Source organism: Homo sapiens, chromosome 1 (assembly GCF_000001405.40).
Source record: "Homo sapiens chromosome 1, GRCh38.p14 Primary Assembly".
Classification (NCBI taxonomy): Eukaryota; Metazoa; Chordata; class Mammalia; order Primates; family Hominidae; genus Homo; species Homo sapiens.
In genome coordinates, this window is record NC_000001.11 from 77,080,521 (window position 1) to 77,104,971 (window position 24,451).

The 24,451-nt window shown below is 37.5% G+C and overlaps 1 protein-coding gene across 1 annotated transcript in view; it reads right to left on the bottom strand.

The window, feature by feature from the left end:
* Positions 1-8,468: 8,468 nt before the first annotated feature.
* Positions 8,469-24,451, bottom strand: part of PIGK (phosphatidylinositol glycan anchor biosynthesis class K) — a 130,442-nt gene continuing 114,459 nt past the window's right edge. Inside the window, exon 11 of the mRNA NM_005482.3 lies at positions 8,469-11,970. Within this exon, the coding sequence (NP_005473.1) occupies positions 11,854-11,970 (117 nt within the window). The 3' untranslated portion in view covers positions 8,469-11,853. The remainder of the gene's footprint in view (positions 11,971-24,451) is intronic.

The following is a 24,451-nucleotide window of genomic DNA, read 5'->3' on the forward strand; positions in this document are numbered from 1 at the left end:
GAAACATAAACTTTTCCTCCAGTTCATGATGCTTTAGGGTTTGGAACTATTATGGTCATATTTGCGACCACAAGGGGAGCCACCTTGAGAATGGGGATATTTCAGGGAAGCAGAGCTGAGAGATGCATCTTAGAATATCATTGAGTCCTGGATCAAGCTGAGCCTGAAGACAAATGTTTCCTAAACATTCAGTTATGTAAATAAATTCTACTTTTTATTTAAGGATACTCGAAATGGATTTTCTGTAGCTTCCAAAAAAATTATGACCAACAGATACTCTAATTTAATGACATGTAGAAACCCTTCTAGAGCTCTCTTCACTGGTATCCTGGCTTCCCATCCCCTATTGTAAGTACCTTACAGATAAAAAGTATTTATATTTCATATATGTTGGGGGAACAAAGACACAATATATAGACCAGATCGGCAATAGGGAGTAGTAAAGTGCATTTTCAGTACAAAGATGTTGTAGTGATTCTACCACCCTTTTGGGCACTTTCCTTGCCTGTGGTTCTCTATGCTGTCATTGAATTGGCTTGGTAGGAATCCTGGAGTTGCTAATGTAGGTAGATACAGCTGGGAAGCTGTAAACAGAACTATAATACAGTAGAATACAAGAAGAAAAGATATGCTATTAGAAGAAAGAGTATTGTATTGTGAAACTGTTAATTATATAGATACATACACATATGTGTATTGGGACACAATGTTAAATGTATTTCTTAGTGTGGATGGAAGTACTTTTTTTTTTTTTCTTTTGAGACAGAGTCTCACTCTGTCACCAGGCTGGAGTGTAGTGGCACAATCTCGGCTCACTGCAACCTCTGCCTCCCGGGTTCAAGCAATTCTCCTGCCTCAGCCTCCTGAGTAGCTGGGACTACAGGCATGTGCCACCACGCCCAGCCAATTTTTGTATTTTTAGTAGAGATGGGGTTTCACCATGTTGCCCAGGATGGTCTCTATCTCTTGACCTCTTGATCTGCCCGCCTCAGCCTCCCAAAGTGTTGGGATTACAGGCATGTAATCCCGTGCCTGGCCAGCAAAATATTTTTAAAAACCATTGCTCCAGCTCCCACGAGACAATTCTGTAATACACAATACAAAAGAAAGTAACAGAGGGCATGATATTAGAGAGGGTATTTATTTTACAAAATTTCTTTTTCAGTTATATAGATATATACGTGTATGTATGTATTGAGTCACTATATGAAATGTACTTCTTATTGTGGGTGGTAGCCCAAAAGTTTGAAAACCACTGACTTGCTCTCTACCTGTGGCCTGAAATGTTACAGAACAGTACGATTGTCTAAACTGCAGCCAGGAATGTGAGGAGAAGAAGGAGAGTCCTTAATAACCTCCGCAACTAGAGCTATGTAGGCAGGCAATATATCTGTAGAGTGATTCCTGGGCTTCCTGGCAAGCAGTGAAGTGCTTGTCTACAGGACTGCTTGCAGAGCCAAGGCAGACAACAGAGCTGGCCAAGCCAGGGTATGTATCTTTCCAGCCTGTTTCCATGGCCAACTCCTCAAGGTATCTAATTAAAGGCCACGCAGACACAGGAGACAAGAGCCTTTGGAGAAAGAGGAGCTTGAAGAGGTTAAACATTTTGAACTGCTTGCTACCTTCGGCTTTGGCCTAAAGGAACCCTGAGGGATGCTTTGCAAAGAACCTGGCCTCCGGAATCAAAAGTACAGAGACAATCTACTGGAATGTGTGGCTGCTTTAGTATTTGGAGAATAATAATAAGAAAAGCCAGATGTCTTTAAAAAGCAGGTAATTTGCTTTTCAAAAAAATGTTTGCTCTTCTCATGTTTTAAATTGTTCAGCTCTTGTCTTCTATATTTAGGTTGTTTTGTTCTCTAAATGTTTAGCACTTAGAGAATGTTATATTCCTTTGACTAGATTTTCGCTTAGTTTTTATCTTCCTTTAAAATGTTTCAGCTACCTGGCTTACTCTTTCTATTCCATTTAATTTTTTCCTCCATTGTTTTCACTTGAAAACATTGTTGTTTCCTTTTCTCCTTAAGCTTTATTCGCAACTATATCCTTGAAATTCTACGTTTCTGATTTTAACATCTAAAATTTTAATTCTTTTATCTCATTTTTCCCTAGTTATACTTCTAATTTCTGAGTTCCTGGTTTTCTTTTTTAACCCGTTCAATGTGTTCTGTATTCCTTTTGTTTGATTTCTCTTATTTCAACCTCCATTTTTCTCCTCCACGTTTGGTTTTCTTGGTTTATAAATGTATTTTCTTATTTGTAATTTTAATCATTATGTTCCTTGTATAGTGTACATTTATCAGGCTGACAAATGACAGAAATACAAAGCTTAGGCTTTTAACCTCTATACCATTCAGGCTTAATCTGCAAACAGCTTTGTAGCTAACTAAACTAGAACATTTCCTACACCGATTGGCCGCTAACATGTTTTTTTCTCTTTTGACCTATCTCCCTTATTAGCAGGGTTACAGGGGGCTCCTCCTGCTCCTGAATCTTTCCATTTCCTGTACTTGTCAGAAGAAGCAAGGAGAGGCTGCCTAAAGCTAGAAGAATTCAGGGTTACTAAAAAAAAAAAAAAAAAAAAACAGTCGCTCAGACTCTTGTGGGATGGCTTTCACATATATGATAGGTCTGTGCGTCATATAGACCAGCTGCAACTCCCAGAACGATATCAGAAGGTGGTGCCTTTTCACATCTTTCTTTTTTTAACTTTTATTTTAGGTTTGCGGCCACATGTGCAGGTTTGTTACCTAGGTGAACTCGTGTCACGGGGATTTGTTGTACAGAATTATTTCATCACTCAGGTATTAAGCCCAGCACCCAGTAGTTACCTTTTCTGAGCCTCTCCCTCCTCCCACCCTCCACCCCCAAGTAGTTCCCAGTGTCTTTGTTGTTCCATTCTTCATGTGTTCTCATCCTTTAGCTCCCATTTATAAGTGAGAATATGTGGTGTTTGGTTTTCTGTTCCTGCATTAGCTTGCTAAGAATAGCCTCCAACTCCATCTATGTTCCTGCAAAGGACATGATCTCATTCTTTTTTATGGCTGCATAGCATTCCATGGTGTATCTATAACACTTCTTCTTTATCCAGTCTATCATTGATGGGTATTTAGGTTGATTCCATGTCTTTGCTATTGTGAATAGTGTTGCAATGAACATTCGCATCGCAGGGAAGCCTTCAGAATTAGGGAAGGTGGTCAAGAATGGGCTCTGACCCTTTGTTCATCTCTTTTGGAGAGAATAAGACTTTTCCTTAAACCCAGAGGAATAATCTGAAAAATTTAAATGACCATGGCCAAGAATTTCATCATGTAATACCATCTAGTTTCTTTAAGAACTTGTATCAGTGAAAGTCCAATCAGGACACAGAAATCACATAGTAATTTGAAGAAAGAATTAGAGTAAAGGGGCAGTTGCTAGTGAGAGATAACAAGTACTCTAAAGAATATAGGAATGGCAGGCATTCTCTTGAGCTTTGCTACTTTGGAGGTCTTTGCCCCCAAAAGGGGGAATTCATTAGGAGACAAACAGTAATTTCACTGAATTTGAAGAGAAGATTGCCACCTGGTCATTTGAGGCTGTTTATGTCACTAAACCAATGGGCCAAAAATAAGGAGTTGCTTCACTGGCTGGAGTGATTGATCCCAATTACCAAAGGGAAATTGAATTGGCAGCCCCCTCCCCTAGGACTAAGCCAGAAGTCCAAGGAAGAAGCCAACTCCTCCCAGGGCTGAGATCAGACATCGTTGGAGAGGGCATGGCAAGGCACACTGGCAGAGAAGTTCACTGAAGTGTCGTTGTCAGTGGAGCTTGCTGGAAAACTGCCCTTTGGAGTGCTAAGGTCATATCCTCAGGGAGGAGCCATGTCTCAGAACTCACTGAAAAGCCACCTGAAGGAATGTGGGGAAAGTTGTCCAGAGGAAGGTGCCCTGTTAGCAGCTCTCTGCAAGGAGGTATGCTGGGGGAAGATGTTCATGAGAATGTGCCCACCATCTGTACCTTGCTTAAAATGGCTGGAACCAGTTGCCTGAGGCAGCCATTCAAGTGAAGATGCTTTGCTGGTAGCCCTCCCACTATAAAGTTGTCCACAGGAAGGTGCTCTGTGCTGCCGGCCACTGGGCACTGCAGAAAACACAGAATGTGTGCACACACACGTACTCTCTCTCTCTCTCTCTCCCTCCCCCTGCAGGAGAAGATCACCTGAAACAAGAAGAAAAGCTCCTTTTTTCTGTGATCCTCCAGCACTGTCTATTGACAAAGCTTAGCAACATGTTCACTGTAAAGAAGAAATTCTTAAAGGGGTCAGCTCCATTATCATAGAATGGTAATAAGTGGATTGGGGGTTGAGACAATGAGTTGATAACTGGGAACAGTACATTCCTTTAGCTACTCATTTTCCATATTTACCCTTCACTCATGTGAGTTCTGTACAATGAAGCAACTCTGTGTTTCCACCTAACAAGATATTGCTATTCTCACAAGTGAAGAAATTCTCACCCTTCACAAAATAAAGAGATGCATAGTCCTAACCATCACTGTATCCATTGGCAGCTATAGTCATTACTCCTCAAATTCTATCATAGTTTCATTGATTATTTTCTTGCCTAAAGACTATTATGTATGGTTAAGCACCACTAGTTTGTGTAAAAACAAAAATGGAAAAAGGAGAAACAGCCTACACACATAAACATATAATAGCCAAAGAGAAAATACACAAAGCCACTACAGTCCTCATTTCAGTAGCTGGGCACAAGGCCATAGTTGATACCTCTGGCTTATATTTCTTTTGCCCTTGGCCAGAAGTTCAGCGGGTCAATTCTTTATCCAGCAGAGGGACCTAAACCTTCCTTCAGAAGGGTAAAGTCCTTAGTCATCTGCCTTTTTATTTTTTTTGGTTGTTATAAGAAGTGCTAATGGGCACCCCAGATAATCCCCTGGATTCCACATAATCCTCCTTCTCCCCAGTGTGTAGCAGCAACTCAATATCCCTTTGATAATTGAGATCAATCACTCCAACCAGTGAAGCAACTCCCTATTTTTGGCCTGTTGGTTTAGTGACATAAACAGCCTCAAATGACCAGGTGGCAATGTTCTCTTCAAATTCAGTGAAATTGTTGTATCTCATGATGAAAGCATTCTCCCTCTTGGGGGCAAAGACCTCCAAATTAGCAAAGTTCAAAGTTTCCATTGGATTTGGCAGTTCCATCACTGATAGCAGTAAAGGAAATCATTTCAGGGGAGTAGTGGGAACAAAAGCCAGATTACAAGGGGGTTTACAATGAAGAGAAGGCAAGGCAGGGAAGCCAGTAAGTGAATGCAGCCCACTCTTTCGAAAGAAAAGCTATGAAATTAAGTAGAGGAGAGCTCTGTAAAGCACTCAGAAGAGGACACAGGATTTTGAGAGGAATTTTTAAAATGAGGAAAACTTACACATCTTATAAAATTCAAGGGGAAGCTCTTCTATGTAAAAAGAAATTGAAGGAAGACATGAGTAAACAAGCTCCCAAATGGGATGGGATCAATAACTCAAAGCAGAGGCATCTCTGCCTCAGTATCTGAGCCCAAAGAAGTGGGGTAGGGGTGTGATGGGAGAAAATAAAGGCAAATTTGTAGAAGGTGGAGCAGGAAGTTGAGCTGGTTACCTTCTCCCAGTTTAATTTTCAGATTACAAAGCAAAGCCTTTTGATGAAAGAACTAAGTTGGTAGAGCAGGAAGACTGAAGAAAATGCACAATTTTGAAAAGAACAATAGTGGAAAATAGAGAGGGGCAAGAGATAGAGAAATCTAATCTGGTTGTCTATAAATCATGACTCAAATTTTACTTCCTCCTTGATGTATGCTCTGCCTCTTCAACTGATAGTAAATAAAAGATTAATAATATATCTATATAGCAATTAAAAACAGAAGTTTCTCTTTAAGTGCCTGTCCTATAGCTCTTACATAGCACTCGTCATTTTCTGCTATGTAGTTTTTTTCCTTTCTATAATCCACTGGTAACTCTTTAATTAATTAGATTTTTGTATCCCTCATAAGCATCTACTAGAGTGTGTAACTCATTAACACAGTGTTTCAATAACTAATTGTTGTACAACAAACCACTCTATACTAATGGAGTAAAATAACAATCTTTTGTAATTATTCTCTCTCATGGTTCTGGGGATAACTAAGTGGTTCTCACTTGGGGGTCTCTCCTGTGGTTGCAGTCAGGGAACATCTGGAGGCTCCTTCCTGCACATCTCTGGAGTGTGATGTTGGCTCCTGGCTGGGACCTCAGCCGGGAGGCTGCCCTCCACAATACACATATGTGACTTCTCCATGCGGCTTGGGCTTCCTCAGGGGATGGTGGCTGGGTTCCGAGAGCAAGTGTCCTAGAAAAGAGCTGGGCAGGTGTTATAATCCTTTTTATGATCTCTGAAGTCATGCAGTAGTATTCGGTAACACTCTATTTATTAGAATTAAGTCACTAAGGCCAGCCCATATTCAAGGGGCAGGGAGTTTAGACTCCATGTCTTGATGAGAGGAGTGTCAAGGGATTTGAAGATACTACACATATAAATGCTAATTAGCTGCTTGTTTTAAGCATTTAGTGTATTTTGAAAAAGCCTCAGAAAGAAAGAGAATGAGAGTGGTACACAGTCTTACAAGGTCTGAATAGAAGTCAGGAATAATGCTAAAGAGTCAATTAACCATAAAAGATGCTACCCATGGCTGCTTATTTCGCAAGTGTTTGTGATCTTCTTTTACAATCTCTTTTTAGGAGATAAAATTGAGCTATTTTGTCTAGAAAGGTGTAGTAGGTCAGTGCTTCTCCTACTTTATGGGCACACAAACTCCTCGGGATATTGTTAAAATGCAGATTCTGATTCAGTAGGTCTGAGGTGGGCATCACATTCTGCATTTCTAGGAAGCTACAGGGGGGATACTGCAGCTCCATGAGCCACCCATTGAACAGCAAGTTAGCAGAAAGTAATAAGGGTAACTGCCTGGCTCCTGTGATCCCATCCTTCTCTGGGAGGAGTGCTAATGGGGTATGCCACCAGAGGTCCTTATGGGCTTACAAGACCTTAGCCCTCTGGCCTGTGAACCTGTGATGCCAATAAGGTTAATCTATTCTTCCATAAGACTTGTAGAACTGGAATTAAAGGAAGACAGTAATTTACCTCTCTCTTGTGGTAGAAGCATGGGATATGAGGTTCTATCCATCATGTGAGAAAGTCAGTTTCCAGGAGGAATAAAGGGAACACAGAGAGAGAGAGTGAGTCCAGGTGATACTCCAGTGCCTGATGAGGCTCAGACCTGACCCCACTTCTGAAAGATTATACAAAATATCCTAATATTCTTCTGGCAAATTCCCCTCTTGGCCTACATTTGTTCTACTTTGGTTGTTATCATTTGAAACTAAAAAAGCTCTAACAAAGGGTAGGGAAAGTAGGGGATATGTTCTCTTGGAAATGTAATGCTCACTGTTTTGCAGTACTAGATTATTATCCAGACATCTGCAACCTGAGGGTGAGGAAAGACTGTCCCTTAAATCATGTTAAAGGTATGTTCCCAACAGAGTGGACTGAATATGAAAAAAGAAGACAGTGGAACACTAAGGCTGAGGGAAGATGAGAAAAGCCTCAATCTACCTAAAATAGGAGAAAAATCTAGAAAAGGGAGGCAAGAGAGTCTATGGATTAAAATCGTTGGATAGTATCGAAAGAAACTGTTACCCAAAATTTATGCCTGCTGAAAACAGATGGGAAAAGGACAGTCTAGGAATAGCAAAGCTAATGTTCTCTAAAGAGTGACAAGACCCTGGGCCTGAGTGGAAGTTAAAAGCAAGATAGTCCTGCCCAGCAAAGAACAAAACATTGACTTTTCCTATATGTCAGACATTGTGTGATTTGCTTTACATTTTTTTTTTTTTTTTTTTTTTGAGACGGAGTCTCGCTCTGTCGCCCAGGCTGGAGTGCAGTGGCGCAATCTCGGCTCACTGCAGGCTCCGCCCCCCGGAGGTTCACGCCATTCTCCTGCCTCAGCCTCCCGAGTAGCTGGGACTACAGGCACCCGCCACCTCGCCCGGCTAATTTTTTGTATTTTCAGTAGAGATGGGGTTTCACCGTGTTAGCCAGGATGGTCTCAATCTCCTGAACTCATGATCCACCCGCCTCTGCCTCCCAAAGTGCTGGGATTACAGGTATGAGCCACCATGCCCAGCCAATTTGCTTTACATTTATGACCTTATTAAATGACCCCCCCTAAGAAAGTTTCGCTCATGTCCGTCCCTGAAACTCTAGCACAGTCAAAGCTGGCACTACCATAGTCAAAAGAGAGAAAACTGAACGTGGGTCGTATCATGTGATTCCCACCTGGCAGACCCTATGACTGGGTATACCTCAGCAGGCAAATCTCAGAGTCCTCTGAAGTCTCTGAGACTGCAAACTGTGCAGGTGACACAAGAATGACACTGCCACCTTTCCATGTTTGGAGTAAATAAATTTTTAATAACCAGTTTCTTGGTTACAACTTCATCTATATAAATCCCCTTATTCTAGGATCTACACAGTTAAACCTAATATTTCACAGCACATTTCCAAAACAGTACAGTTTTTACACTAAGAAAAAAAAATAAAAATAAAAGCCTGGTTACCACCAAGGTGTATTGTCCATGAATTGAAAGGCTTTCCTATTTAAGTAGCAGGTACATGTGTAAATAGGGCAGGCAGCAACAGAACAGCAATATTGGAGAACTCTTTCTTTGTAGTAAATGCCCTTGAGTATGAGATGTGACACTGAAGCAATAAGGCCAATTCTTTAAAGCAAAAATGGATACTGATCTCATTGTTTTATAGCCATATCTTGTGGTATGTTTATAACGTATTTCTTTCACATGTTAAAACAGTATCTACTAAAGATGGGCTTAATTTTGGTAAAGTCAACTGAAAAAAGTTATATGTTAATGCAACATTTGTTGTAAAGATTCCAGAAACACAGGAGTCAAAATTTCAAATTATGATTCCCACAGTAACTGTAACTCTGGTATACAACATACATAATGGAAGAAATGTTATCAATATATACCATAGTAGAAAATACTCAGTAAGCAGAAACAAGCTGAGTTATGCTTCTTGTGGGAATCATCATTTTCAACTAGCTGGGAATATATAAAAATCAAAACCATAAATGCATGGATTATTTTTTGCATTTAATTCTAATATTTCTTGATCCAATTTAATCAGCTTTGTATCCAAACTACATTTTCCTTTCATAAACTGCAAATGAATGTCTTTCGTAATTTTAAAATCCACATTATTTGATTTCTTTTTCTCACACAGGCTGCCTTTGCAGGATGGCATCATTATACCCTGTCCCTCCCTGAAATGTCAGGACACATCTGCAGGGATTCATTTATCTACATTCCTTTTCTCTCTGAAGGACACCATGGGGGAGGAGAAAAAGAACAGCAAAGAGAACAAGAATCACATTGAGTAGCTTAGAAAGCTACATAAGTGCACTGTGACCATTAACTTCCCCTTTGGTATCCTCCTAAGCCGACATAAGAACAATAATGCCACCATATATTTACAATTTCAGAAGTGTTTAGTCAAAATACTATCTCATCTGATTCTCACCACAACACTGTGAGAAAGGCAAAAACAAAACACCTTTCTGTTGTTCAGCTTTTGTGACTCAAGTAGAATATATTTAAGGATTTGTTTTTATGATACTGTTTAAAGTGTAGGCCATTTAATTGCACTGACAATATTTCCTAAACGTACTCATCTACCACATGCAGAGGATTTAGTTATTATGAAGGCAGAGTATGCTCTATGTAAAAAGATTATGGTTATAAGTGAAACATTTAACATATTTTAAGCTTTTGGCTTTAACTATATTCTGAAGATTCAATAATGAAACAGAGGAACAACTGCCCTTTGAAATTCTGCTGAGGCAAAATTTATCCTGAATATTTTATCCAGTATTACTTTTCCCAGTTTGGTTTTAACTAAGAAGGGCACCTTCTACAACCTCTGAAGACGAATCCTTTTACTTTCTAGCAGTCTTTACAGGGTATGTTTCATTATATTCAAACTAAATTACTTTGGCTCAAGAACAATCATAATTCCTTTACCACCCTAAATAGCTCCGCCTCACCGTGGTGTCCACGACCTTGTATGAGTGTCTGGAGGGCAACATGGTCAATCTTTTTGTGTCTCAGTGCTACTATAATCAGTCTATTCAATTGCAAGTTTATTTTCCCTTCTTTTCATGTACAGAAAGATCCTTCACATAATCAGACAAAATTTTTCTTCCTCATTTATATAACACATCAATAAAAAGATCAATTAAAATAAAGATTCAGAGCTGGCAAAAAGCCTCAATATCATTTGTTCTAACTAGGGAGATAACACAGTCAATCCTTTGCCTTTTGAAAAGTATGACAATCTTGCATGCAATTAAAAGGTAATATTATAAGTGCAAAAGGAAAAACAAATCTTAAGGAATATTAATTTTAGGAGGTTTTCTTGTGGAGGAAGAGTTGTCTTAATGTTACCTACAATTATAAACAAAATTTAAAAAAAAATCTTTGCACTGAATAAAGATGAACACATAAATTCTTGCATAAAACAGATAAGACACCTGAAGGTATCCCCCCAGACATAAATACTTAACTTTTAGGCTTTTCCTCTACTCATATGCAAAAGTTTGAAAAGAAAAAACAACATCAGGGGTTGGTCATAGCACAGTCTCAATATTATTTCCAAACTAAAATGTCAGTGATGGGGATATGAGCTCTTGCATCTTACCAGAGACTAGAAAAGGGGCTTACTGCCTTATAGGATACATCAGCCAGACATGAAGGCTAGGCCATAAGCATACATTTTCTTCACAGGTCCATCCACTTTATGGGATTTTTCTCAAGGAAAGTATAGATACAGCCAGTGGGCAAGGAGGTTTACCTAAAACAGAATGAAATAAAGTCCTTGTTGGCTCTCTCTTTCAAGATGGAAAATGAAGAGGACGTGACCAATTGTAGAAGATCACAGAACGCTTACAAATGAAAAACAATGGGGTATGTTTCTCTTGAGCAGTCAGTACGTGAAATTATCAAAGGTCTAAAATTTCCCAAATAAACTGACAACAAACATATAAGGTCCTGGAGATTGTCAGTGCCATAGATTAAAAAACCAATTTTTCATCTTTGCTTTTAATTAAAGCTGCAGGATTCCATGAGTGACCAGCAGTAAAATATTAATACATTAAAGAATAAACCAAAGGAAAACATTTGGTACAATGTAAGTGGTCCAACAATAGAAGACTGTGAAATGAATTAAATATTCATAAAGTGAATACTATGCAGTCATTCACAATGTATTTTTGAGAGGGAAAAGGTTGATAATACATTGTAAAATGAAAAAAGACATTACAAAATAGTACATTCCATATGATCTCCATATTGGGAAAAAATATGTGCATAAGTCAAAAGATTGGGAGGATATACAAAAAATAATTAACCAAAGTTACTTCTGTTAGTGAGAATTTAATGTCTTCACAATTGTTTCTTTTCCAAATGAAAAGGGGATAAGGGGAAATTACTATTTTCAAAAACAGTCAATGTATTCTGATCTCTGTCTCATTCGCTTTTATAATACACAAAATACAAAACTGGAATATATTTAGTGCCATTAAGCAGTTGCATTAACAATTATTTTTCTTTAAGTTATAAAATTAATAGTTGATTCAAATTTAGTTTCCTTATACTTATTTCCAATTCATACAAGAGAAACACATTTTTAAAAATATATAATGACATAAATTATTATCCAAGTTTGCAGTCCTCCATGCATTCTTCATTCATCATCAAGTCTAAAAAATGAACTTCATATGCTTAATTCCATAAGTTTTGAAGAAAACCATGATAATAAGTGCCCATAATCCCAGAATAAAGCCCCCAGGAGGATGCCAGTCTTTCAGCTTCGGTTTCTGCAAAACAAGAATAACATGATAAATTTTATAACAGGTAAATAATTCAGCAATCAATAAAGCAAACATTGATGAAAAAGATAAATTTCACTGGTTGTGTTTGAATGGGGACTAGTTAGTCAAATTAAACACATTGGGATAGCAACAATGGTAAAGACTTCAGACAGGGTAAATATCCTACAGGGTAAACTGGCTCCTAACAAAGATCAGTTTCAGCTTATATTTTGTTTCCTCAAAGAGTCCTTCCCTGACTACCTAATCATACCATCTATCCTCACTCAAGTTACTCAGTAGCCTAACAGTCTTTCTCACTTTGGATTTATATATTCATTAATTTGTCGGTTTTATCTATCTCTATTAGACTGTAGTTTCATGACGGTCATCTTATTATATTCCCAGCACCAACCTGCCATGGTGCTTGCCATTCAGGAGGCATTCATATATCATAGTGAGTAAATCAGTGGAAGAACAAACGCTACCCAATTCCATTCAGCTATTCAACACACACTTGTTTAAGTGCCAGTGCCTTGGGTCATGTTTTTCCCTTGAGGTAGAATGCTCCTTAACCTATTCATTGTGCCTATTCAAAACTCACTAACTCAAATGCCTCCTCCAGACTCTCCCACCTGATATGTTATTTTCTTTGAGTTCCCATAGTACCTGAACTATAACTCCTTCTATTGTTACTCCTATTCACTATTATATTTATCTTTATCATTTATCTCCCTGCACACTCCCTGGGATCAAAGTCCATCTAAGTCAATTTTTTATCCCCCTTCTCTATTCCCCACCCCACAAGTGTCACGTATGCTTTTTTGTCCAGCAAGACCAGTCTTCTCCATTTAGTTGTCATTTCAACAGCTACATTACAGCCTTGTAATTGGAAGTTTGTGACAATGATTTCTTTTCTACTTACTGAATTACTGGCCAAGACTGTAATGACAGTTATGATATTAGAATCACATTTTAGACAATAGGGGAGAGAAATAGTAAGCTAAAATTTGCTTTAGTCATCATGTATAATGTCCATCAATTCAAAATTAACTTTTCAAACTAAAAGGAAAGAAAGCTACCTCAATATTTTAACTTGAATCATAATTCTAGAGTTTTCAGAGCTTTTAATCAAATGCTTAATATAAACTGACCTACCAACGTTTAAAGTGGTTACATTCCATCTTCATTCCTATGCTTACCCTCAACCTCTACCAGTCCATCCAGAAAACTCCCCCAAAATTTATCCCAAAATATTAAATCCAATTTTTCTCATGTTATTTTCCACTTAAGAGTCTGCAGTGGCTTCCACTCAACATGTGTGATGATAATGGCAAAAGTCCTTGCCCTCTAATATCCTACAAGACGGTAAGTTCGGTGGTTCTCAAACCATTTCTAATGGCAAAGCTCTTGGAAGTTACAGTGCTTTCTGTGCAATACTGTGACAAATCTTAATTCAATTCCAGTAGAAAATCTAGAATAATTAATAAAAAGCAAAGCTATATTAAAGATAAGTAATATAAATATCACAAGCACGTGTCAATGAAAAAATAAGTGAGTGAACTAAACAAGACTACTGCTCAGTTTTTGTCCTGTTTATTTTCTACTAGTCAAACAATTTGTAATTCACACAAAAGGGTTGAAAATGTTTAAGATCTAAAACTACTTTTCCACATACCGGGAAAAGGTTACCGTTATTCATTATTAGTGGAAGCACATTTTATACAACCTATAGATATTCCCTGAAAGCCCAGTTTAAAAGCACTGACCTAGTTTGAGAGATCAGATACTGATTTTCCCTAACAACTAGGAGTCCCTCATTTATATGGCATTTAAAAACACTCACAATTAGGTTACTACTGTAAAAAAGTTAAATACATATTGTCAAAATCTGGCACCAATGTAAACTCTTAACTAAGGAGAACAGGCTATAGACAATTGTTCCATAAATCCAATTAATGAACTTCAGTGCTAAAAGACTTAAGAAGGCATTTAAACCAAGTCATGTTTTTCAAAAAATGGTGAACATCATTCAAGCTCTACATTCATCAGAGATTATAGAAACAATAATCAAGTAGTTATAGCACATCTTAATTCTGCAGCTGTAATAACTCCAGTTACTTTCCAATGAGATGGACTCCCTGAGGTTGTAATTTTACTATTAAATCTTAAACTTAGCAGCCAGAAACAGTTGCCAGAGATAAGACAACTATGGAAAAAATAGCATCTTTGAAAGTAACTATCATTTTTCCAAAGATTCAACAACTAGTCCTGGCAGCTATTTTGACCCATTATTCCACAGGCTGGCTTGGAGAATTCTGGAGGCACTTCATTCTGGTCTTTCAACCTCCTTGACAGGTATGTGTTTCACATCTAGACCGCTGATGGCCAGGGTAGGAACAAAGAGAAAATCAAAGTGCTATTTCTCCAACAGCAAACTTTAAAAGTAATAATGGAGGACTAAGAAATATATGTAATTTCTGCAAAATTATAATGGAACAGTAAACTTATTCACATGATAACACTGCATAAGCTACCAAAAGCAGCAAATCCTGGCCTTTCAAAACTGCTCTTTGCAGTTGCTATGTTTCTTAATGTTCGTTCAATACATTTTTTTGATTAATAAAAAATGGAAAATGCATTATGAACTAAATGCACTTTGGACTCAGCTTAAGAAGGTATCTGAATAGAATCCCCTAGTGCAGTCTCTCCCACCTTCTCACAATAATCCATACAAAGGCACAGAAAAAGACAACAGCACACCCTACCAAAATTCAGTTAACCTCTGATGAGAAATCTCTGACAGTTTCCCAGAAACAAGGATTAGAAACAAATTAATGGTAGGCTTAGTTTTCTGTTTGGTATATACCATGCAACGGCTTGCTTTGCTCTGTGAAACACAATACTTCTGCAGCTGAGTAAGGGACTTTAGCTCACTCCCTTTTTCCACCTGCTGTTTAACAGACACAGTGCTTATGCAGTAGAAAGATGGCTTTATGAGGCAGCCAGAGTTGTGTAACTCATTCCCAGTTCCCAGTGGCACACCTCTTTATATGTCCATTTAAATATAATTCCCAGCAAGCAATATGACAAAAGGGTAGGGGGGCACTGACAATGGTTCACTGCTTCCTGGAAGGCTTAGTATCACAGGAAAAGCTCTGCAGAGACCAGAAAATGCAGGGAAAACCCTGTTAGTAGTACACGTTTTAAAAATATGTTTTTTTCCATATACTTCACCTTTTTTTAAGTGCCCCAAAAAACAGGCATAAGTGGCATGGTAGCAGATGATCCTAGTTTAAGCCACATTTAGAGTGGTCTAAGAACCAGTCACTTGGAACCATATAACAACCTATTCCTCAGATACAGATTTGAGAAGGCATTTAAACCTAAGTGGATAGTGAAAACCATCCACACACTCTGTTGGCAAATACCAACAGTGTCCAAATAAAAAGGAAAAATTGAGGTGGGCTCTATGAGGAAAAATCCTCCCAAACATGAGAAATAAATTATAATCTGAAGAGGCAGAGAAGATCTCCCTGAGAAAAATTTAATAAGGAACCAAAAATTAATTTTAGACAATTTTTATCTGGCATGGATTTGAATAAAGATTCACAACGAACCAAAAATGAAAGAACAATATAAAGAGAAAAAGAATACATGATACAAAGACAACAGGCTGAAATAAAAAGGGAGCTGGATGACATAATTTTGTAACAGCAAAATTAAAATCCACATTTACAAGGAACATAGTGTTCTAAGCACATCTTCGAGTCCTTCATTCATCCAATTGTATGTTAGATTGATGGGCAAACATGGCCCTAATTACCCATTCTTGGCTGTGTCCATACCCTCTGCAACGTGACTTTATAGAAGCTGTCAGCAAGAGGTAGAATCTATATCCCTATCCTTTGAATCAGCAGGTCTTATGACTTCTTTTGGCCAACAAAATGCAACACAAGTAACAATGTCCCAGCTCTAAGTTAGCCTCAAGAGGCTTGGCTTGCTTCTGCTCTCTCTCAGACCTCTTCCACCACCAGGAGAAAAAGCCTACACTTCCAGCTACAGAAGAGCCGAGCTTCCCTCCAGCTAATAACCAGCCAACTATAAGGGCAAAACCATCTTACTAATCAAGTTGACCACACCACAGACTCATGACGGAGCCTAACTGAGAACACAACTGCCCAGCTAAACTCATCCTAAATTGCCAACTTGCAGAATTGTGAGCTAAATAAATGACTGATGTTTTAAATTACTAAGTTTGGAGTGGTTCATGATACATCAAAAGTTATGAAATACATCCACAGCGGTGACAACGTGAAGAAAAGAAAAACCCTGATCCTTTATCACCATAACAAAACAGAAAAAGTTCCCATCTCCATACTTGTAGCTTCGGGTTTTTCTTTTTTTTTTTTTTTTGTTTTTTTGTTTTTTTGTTTTGTTTTGTTTTGTTTGTTTTTTTAATTATGCTTTAAGTTTTAGGGTACATGTGTTTATTGCGGCATTATTCACAATAGCAAAGACTTGGAACCAACCCAAATGTCCAACAATGATAGACTGGATTAAGAAAATGTGGCACATATACACCATGGAATACTATGCAGCCATAAAAAATGATGAGTTCATGTCCTTTGTAGGGACATGGATGAAATTGGAAAGCTTCGGGTTTTTCTAACAATGGCATAAGAACAGCATGACGGGCAGCAAATCAAGCCCTCAGTTTAGTGGAGATGCAGTGCTGCTCTCCTCTAGCTCTCCTTTATAGTCTTCCGGAAAGAGAGAAACTCCAACTGCCACCATGCCAGGAATTGCTTTCAAGGAAATGACGGTGACACAGGGGAATCTAGAAACTAACTCATCTAGCTTCCCTTTAGGCATCTTCCAACTGAAGTCTAGATCTGAAGTTTGGTTCCTCTTCCCTTTAAAGTTACCAATTAGAGGTAATCACATGTTGCGCCCGTGCTGGAGAAATGCACACTACCCAAGATCTTTATGTACCTTTTTCCATGATAAATGTGCAAGGCAGTTAATGTAATCTAGAAAATTAAGGATGATTTGTTTTCAACTATGATTTGGGTTTTAATTGAAAGATGACCACAGTTTTTCCTTAATCGTGATTTTAACTTTCCTGTGATAAGAACACCCATTGTTAACATTATTAGTTAACATTACTCTGGAATTTCTAGCCAATCCAGACATAACATGTAGGAAGGGAAAGTAAATTTTCATTACTCATAGATATGATTATTAGATATCAAAAAGCTCCATAAAATCAATTCTTACAATTATTGAGAATAAAGGGCTCGGATTTCATATAAATATTTTAAAAAATCATTATCTTTCAAGTATGTCAGCAAATATGAGTCAGAAAATAGAAAAAAATGTCATTCACAATAACAATTAAAAAAAACTATGAATACCCATAACATGAGATGTAAGGTAAACAATCTACATTACTCTACAGAGAGGGGTAAACAGTCAGAAATATTAAAAAATATATATAACGCTAAACAATAATGTGATTCCAATGCAAGTGTAGAAAGACGAATAAAACAGAATAGAAACTAGACAATCAGTCCAGTATCCCAGGATTTAGTATATTATAAAAGGGCTATCACAGATCAGTGGGAAAGGGAATAGTAGTCCTACTGGTGCTGTAAACAATGGATTAGCATTTGGAAACAAAATCAATTTTGTTCCTAACCCAACACTGTAAACAAAAACACACTTTACATGGTTCAGAATTAAATGTAAAAATAGAAGAAGAAAAAAAAGAGATAAAATGTAGGAGAATCTGTACGATAAGGCTATTAATAAGCCTAAAGGCAGTGAGTGAAAATAAAGAGAAGGTGGAGGAAATTTTTTTTTTTTTGAGACAGGGTCTTTGTCACACAGGCTGGTGTGCAGTGGCATTATCTCAGCTCACTGCAGACTCCTCAATCTCCCAAGTTCAAGTGATCCTCCTGCCTCAACACCTCCCTCAAGTAGCTGGGATTACAGGTGTATGCCACCATGCCTGGCTAATTTTTGTATTTTTGGCAGAGATAGGGTTTTGCCATGTTGACCTGGCTGGTCTCAAACTCCTGAGCTCAAGCAATCCTCCACCCACCTTGGCCTCCTAAAGTGTTAGGATTACCAGGGTGAACTACCACGCCTGGCTGCAAAGGTATTTTTACAAAAGTTTTTGGAAAGATCTGTATTTCAAAATGTATAGAAATCAAATTAAAAGGCACATAAATGGAATTTATGACAGAAAAGGGGATAAATTCAATACATGAGGGTCTCCCGCAAATCAGTAAGACACAAGGGTATATCAATAAATGGAACAGGGAAATATTTTCACAAAAGAATAATTACAAATGGCTAACACTTGAAAAAAATCATTTTTCTTCATCATAAACACAATATATTAAGTATTTCTTTCTCTTCTTACAATTAAACCAGTAAATGTTAATAAGGACAGTTAACTTTTCTGGAAAATAACCCATTAACATGTTTAGAGGTCTTTAAAATATTCATTTACTCTAATTCCTAGGATTTGTAACACTTCTAGGATCTATATTAAGGAATTCAGAAACGCTCACAAAGGTTTTCTTCTCAGTGGCTACATAATAAAAAACAGGAAGGAATCTATAGTCACATAATACAGGAAACATTGTACATCCACATATTAATCAATAAAAATATTTTCAAATAATTTTAATGATTTGGAGATGCTTATACTAAAATAGTAAAATGGAAACAAGATGCAAATTGAATCTGAAATATGATGTTTCCTATAACAATATTCAAAGAAGGGAAACATACTAAAGTCTTAGTGTTTTTCTGGGGGAAGCAGGAATACAGTTGGCTTTAAATCTCTTCTCTATACTTACCTAAGCTTTTGAAAATGTTTTCTACAATGAGTATGTCTTACTTTAGTTATTTTGGGGAGAAATTGGATTATGCAGCAAAAATCTGTATTGAAAGACTCCACCTAGAAGAATCTTCATATATTCCTTTCCAAATAGGAGAAACACTGCAGCAACACTGTTTATTACTGATGTCCAACTTTAAGAAAAAGTAACCCGGATAGCATTACAGCAACATAATGTAATAAAGTGCTTTTTCAGTATGTGTTTAATGATATCGCTGACATATGACAACAATGCTATTTTTAAAACAACTATATGTAACCTTTTAGACATTTTACAATGATTTTACTTACAATCAAGTGACAAAATTGGTATAATTATTGCATTTGGCAGTATAACTGCATTTGAGGTAAGTTCATATTAAAGCATATCTTGTAATTTCATTTGTGTCCATTAGAGCTTCTTAAAAAAATGACTGACTTTATGTATTAAGGTACTCTAGTGACTGCCATTAAATGCACTCCTCTTTTTTTAAACTTTCACAATAAGTTACAATACAAAGGTGAAAAGCGTACATAAAACACGGCAATATGTTATAAGCAAACACTTAAAAGCTTAAGGGCTACCCTCTTATTGAAATGCCTTAATATTTCAAATTTAAAAGAGAGGTAGCTAAGCAACACTGTACTTCCAATTGCGAATAGTACTCAGTTTCCCCCTCCATGTTGCTAGGAGAACATTACCACATAACTTTAAAAATAGTTAACAGAGCACAGATCTAAGTATTAAAATTATGTAAAAAGAAAAAACTTAGGATTTTGAAAACTGTACACATTTATTGGGAAGCAAATGGAAAATTTCCAAGGTTTCAATGAGATTCTTAAATGTATAATGAGCATATGAGTTCAGTTAAATTGTATTTTAAGGACAGAAAGTATAAAACAATCTACTAAGGTTATAGTTATAATTATTTCAGAAAATAGCTGTGTTCAACTATTTAATTAGTGGTGGTTTATTAGTATTTCCAGTCTATCTATATCCTTTATATAAAATGCAATTTGTATTTCTCTAATTATATTAATAGTGTAAGTCAAACTGTGGTAGGCAGAATGTAAGACAGCTTCTAAGATTCCCTCAACCTGGGATAAATGCCCTATATAATACCTATCCCTTGAGTCTGGACAAGACCTGTGAATATGATGCACTATCACTCCTATGATTAGGCTGAATTATATGGCATATGAGGGATTCTGAGGATATAATCAAGGTACCTAATCAGTTGATTCTCAGTTAATAAAAAAGGAGATTATCCAGGGCATAGGGAAAGAGGTGGGAAATAAGGCACTGATCTAATCAGATGGGCCCTTTAAAAGGAGGTCTAGATATCAGAGATTGAAGTTGGAAAGATAGATATATTCGAAGTAGCCAAGATGCTCTCCTGTTGGCCTCCCAGAATCAAGCGGCCGTGTTGTACGGTGCACCAGACACAGAATGGCAGACAGCCTTTACAACTGACTGACACCCTCAGTCCTACAAACACAAAGAACTGAATTCTTTTAAACAGTAGGCTTGGAAGAGAACCCTGAGCCTCAAATAAGATTACAGTCCTGGTGGATGCCTTGATTAAAACTTTGTGAGACCCTGAACAGAGGAACTAACTAAGCTATGCCTGGACTCCTGACTCATGGAAAGTGCGAGATAATAATGGTTTTAAATCACTAAGTTTGTTATACACCAATAAAACTAATTCACAAATAAATCTGCCAAACCTGGATGAATAAACAATACATGAACAAGACATGAAACTATTTATTACATCTGATACTAAAAAAAATGCAAGGAATCTACTTGCATTGTTGGCAGAGTTCCTTGGGTGGAATAACACTTAAAGTTATGACATTACCTTTATGTTTTAAAAAAATAGAAGTAAAGAAAAATAGCTGAATTCTTCCTAGTCTTCCATACCTATTTATTATTCTCTAAGACCTACCTCAAATTTCACCTCCAGGTTAAGTCTATTCTCATACCCCAGTAAGAATTAATTTCTTCTTTTCAGGGCACTGGTGATATTTGGTTTATTATCTCACACTACAGCTAATATATGGGTGTGATTCTACTACATTTTGATCTGTTTGTGATACCTATTTTTGAACCTGATCAGGTCCTCACAAGCTCTGGATACAACAGGCCAATTTGTCTTAGTTATGTATTATTTTCCTCTTGAAGACAAGAAATATAAAATACTCAAATATAAACATCATCTATTAAATGCCAATTCATTAATGTTCTTGGTTTTAGGATTTAAGGAAAAATTAAGAATTATAGTGATCAACTGTATAATCTAGTTTAGGATTCCACAGTGAGAAGTCATAAATTAAAAAATATTCTTTTGGCCAGGTGCGGTGGCTCACACCTGTAATCCCAGCACTTTGGGATGCCAAGGCGGGTGAATCACAAGGTCAAGAGATCAAGACCATCCTGGCCAACATGGTGAAACCCCATCTCTACTAAAAATACAAAAATTAGCTGGGCGTGGTGGTGCATGCCTGTAGTCCCAGCTACTTGGGAGGGGGAGGCAGGAGAATCACTTGAACCCAGGAGGCGGAGGCTGCAGTGAGCTGAGATGGTGCCACTGCACTCCAGCCTGGCGACAGAGTGAGAATCCATCTCACACACAAAAAAAATTCTTCTAAAATCATGTAAAAGATAGAATTCCAATGGAGGAGATTAAAAGACTTTCCAATTGGGCAAAGTAACTACAGTTGGTGAAAACATTCAAAGGTGGCAGCAAGACCTGTTGTGGTATTCCATTCAGTGGATCTCATTTCAATGTATTACTTCATTGTGCGATTAATGAAATCCAAGAATCTCCACAGGAGAGGCATCCACTGAAGAGGCATCCAGGCTTAGTTTCCTGGTGACCACTCCTAATTATTTGGATTCTATTATATTTCTAGAGGCAACACCCTCCAATATTGTGAGTGGTATGCTTTAAAATTGAAGATTATGGATGAAATTAAATTTGCTAATCCATTGACCTTAAAATAGTGAGATTATACTGGATTATTTAGGTGAGCCCAATAGTATCACAAGTGTTCTTCAGTGTGGTAGAAGGAGGCAGAATAGGGAGAACAAGAGCGATGACAACTTAAGAAGGGACTCCGGCTGACTTTGAAGGTGGAGGAAAGGGGTCATGAGCCATAGGATGTGGGTGGTCTCTAGAAGCTTGATAAGGCAAGGAAACTGATTCTTCCCCACACCCTCCAGAAATGACTGACATCTTGATTTTAGCCCAGTGAGACCCCTGTTGGACAGCTGACCTTCAGAACTGTAAAACAATACATCTGGGTTGTTTTAAACCACCAAATTTCGGTAATTTGTTACAGCAGTGATAGAAAACGCATACAACAGCAGAAGCTTTTGATGCAGATAGTCCAGATGTTTATTATATGTCTACATTTCAGCTTTTATATTTAAATTTCCAAGAGCTCTTTCTCATACAAAGAAGCTTTTTTTGTTTGTTTTATACCATCCTAGTCTTCTTTAGTATATAAAATAAGGGTCAGATGGCAATGGCATTCTATCTTTAATTTACTTTGAAGAAAATAACTCATCCTAGGATTCAACACTGAGGGTGAAAGAAAGAGGGAAGGAAGCAAGAAACCAAAGTAAAGTCCAGTTGTTTGTGTAAATGCCCTTCAGTTTGGATCCTTCTGATGTTTTCTCATGATTAGATTCAGGTTATGCATATTGTTTGTTTATTAGAAATACTTTGTAAGTAATACTGAGTCCTAATTGTATCACATTATGAGGCATACAATATCAGTTTGTTCCATTATTGGTGATGTTGGCTATGGTGGCATCCTTCAAGTTATAATGCAATAAAATTACTATTTTTACTCTTTGTAATTGGTAAGTAATTTATGGGACAATAACGATTCTCTTTTCTACTCAAAAAAAAAGTAAAGAATTTGAAGTTCAAAGTAAATGAATGTATTTTTTAGTTCTTAACTGAGAAAAATAACCCATAGTCCCCTCAAATAAATAATAAAGCTTCATTTATCAACAGTGTCTACCAGTGTCTGTTTAGGGGTAATCAGAGTTATGCTTCCACCTATGACAAATTAAATGCTAAGGAATTATCTGCCCATCTTGAACAATTAGAAAGTCAGACAAAAGGTAATAAACAATGGTTTTCAGACATTGGACAATTTGCACCAGTTTTCTGATCCCTGAGAAAAACGAAACAAATGAGTCCTTTAATTGCCCCAAGCTCATTGCCTGTAGGCAGTTTCCAAATTACAGCACAAGAAAAGAGACCCAAACACAGCCTGGCAGTCTTCCTGAGTGGAAGTGACACAAATTAGAATTCAGGGAGGTTTAGGCGGTTAGAATTTGCAGGATAGAAGAGGAGGGAGCTGCACAGAAAGAAATACACGAAGGAGCTCCAGAGAGCTGCAGAGGAATCTACCTGCGTTTTTGGCAGAGTTCTATTCTATGCATGCATGACAAGAAACTACCTATAGCTGGTAGAAGGGAAAAAAATATCAAAAGGCCAAACAATTCCCAAAGCTCCTTCAGGGTTGGGAATTGTTCATGTACACACTTAGAGAAATGGACAGACCTTGTAAGATACAAAAGCATCAGGTCACAGCTTATAGTGAGGCTAAATCAGGATAGTGGGGCTATCTTAAAAAAAAAAAAAAAGACTACTCTGGATCTGTTGGTAACAACTTAAGAGCAATTCTTAAAGTGATCAAACTTACCCTCAAACAAAATTCATCACTCACTATATAAATAAAACAAAAATCTAAAGTCCAGCAGCTAACAGCAACAAAAAAACTAAAAACATCTAGCATCCAATTTAAAAATCCAGGCATGCAAAAAAGAGATATATGACATACAGCCAGGAGGAAAAACAATTACTAGAAAAAGACTTATGAAAAAGATGATGATTTCAATGGACAGGGATCTGAAAGCAGATATTTTAAATCAAATGTAAAGAAAAACATGAACACATGAGGAGAGAAATAGAATATTTAAATAAGACACATATAAGATCTTGAGATAAAAAATATGAAATTTCATTTCATATGAAATAAAAAATACATTGGATGGAATTAACAGCAGATAATACACTGGAAAAGAAACATCAGAGAACAAATAAAATAGCAATAGAAATTATTCATAATGAAGCACAGAAGAAAAAGGGCAGGGAAAAAAATAAACAGAGCCTAAATAAGCTATGGCAAATATCAAGCAGGATAATATTTGCCTAATTGGAGTCCCAAGTAGGAAGGGAGAAAAATATCTAAAACCAATAATGACACAGGATTTTCTCGCGCCTTCAACAAACTCGCAACACAGGCACCCTGTTTACTCAGCCCACCATGCTCAACTCCTTGTGGGAGGGAGCATGTGAGCAAGCGAGTGTGGGATCTGACTGGCCGTTCCAGGCACTGGCAGGAGAAAGCTCCATGCAAGGCCAACAGCAGCACCCAGGTGAGGGTGCCCACGACTCTCAAGCCCCAGAGTGGGTGTTACAGTGTTCTCTTAGTTCTGCTGTCTGTAGACAGCAGTGTGTTAGCAGCTCAGTTGGCCCCTTGCCTCAGTGCATGGAGCAACGGGGCGACTTCCCT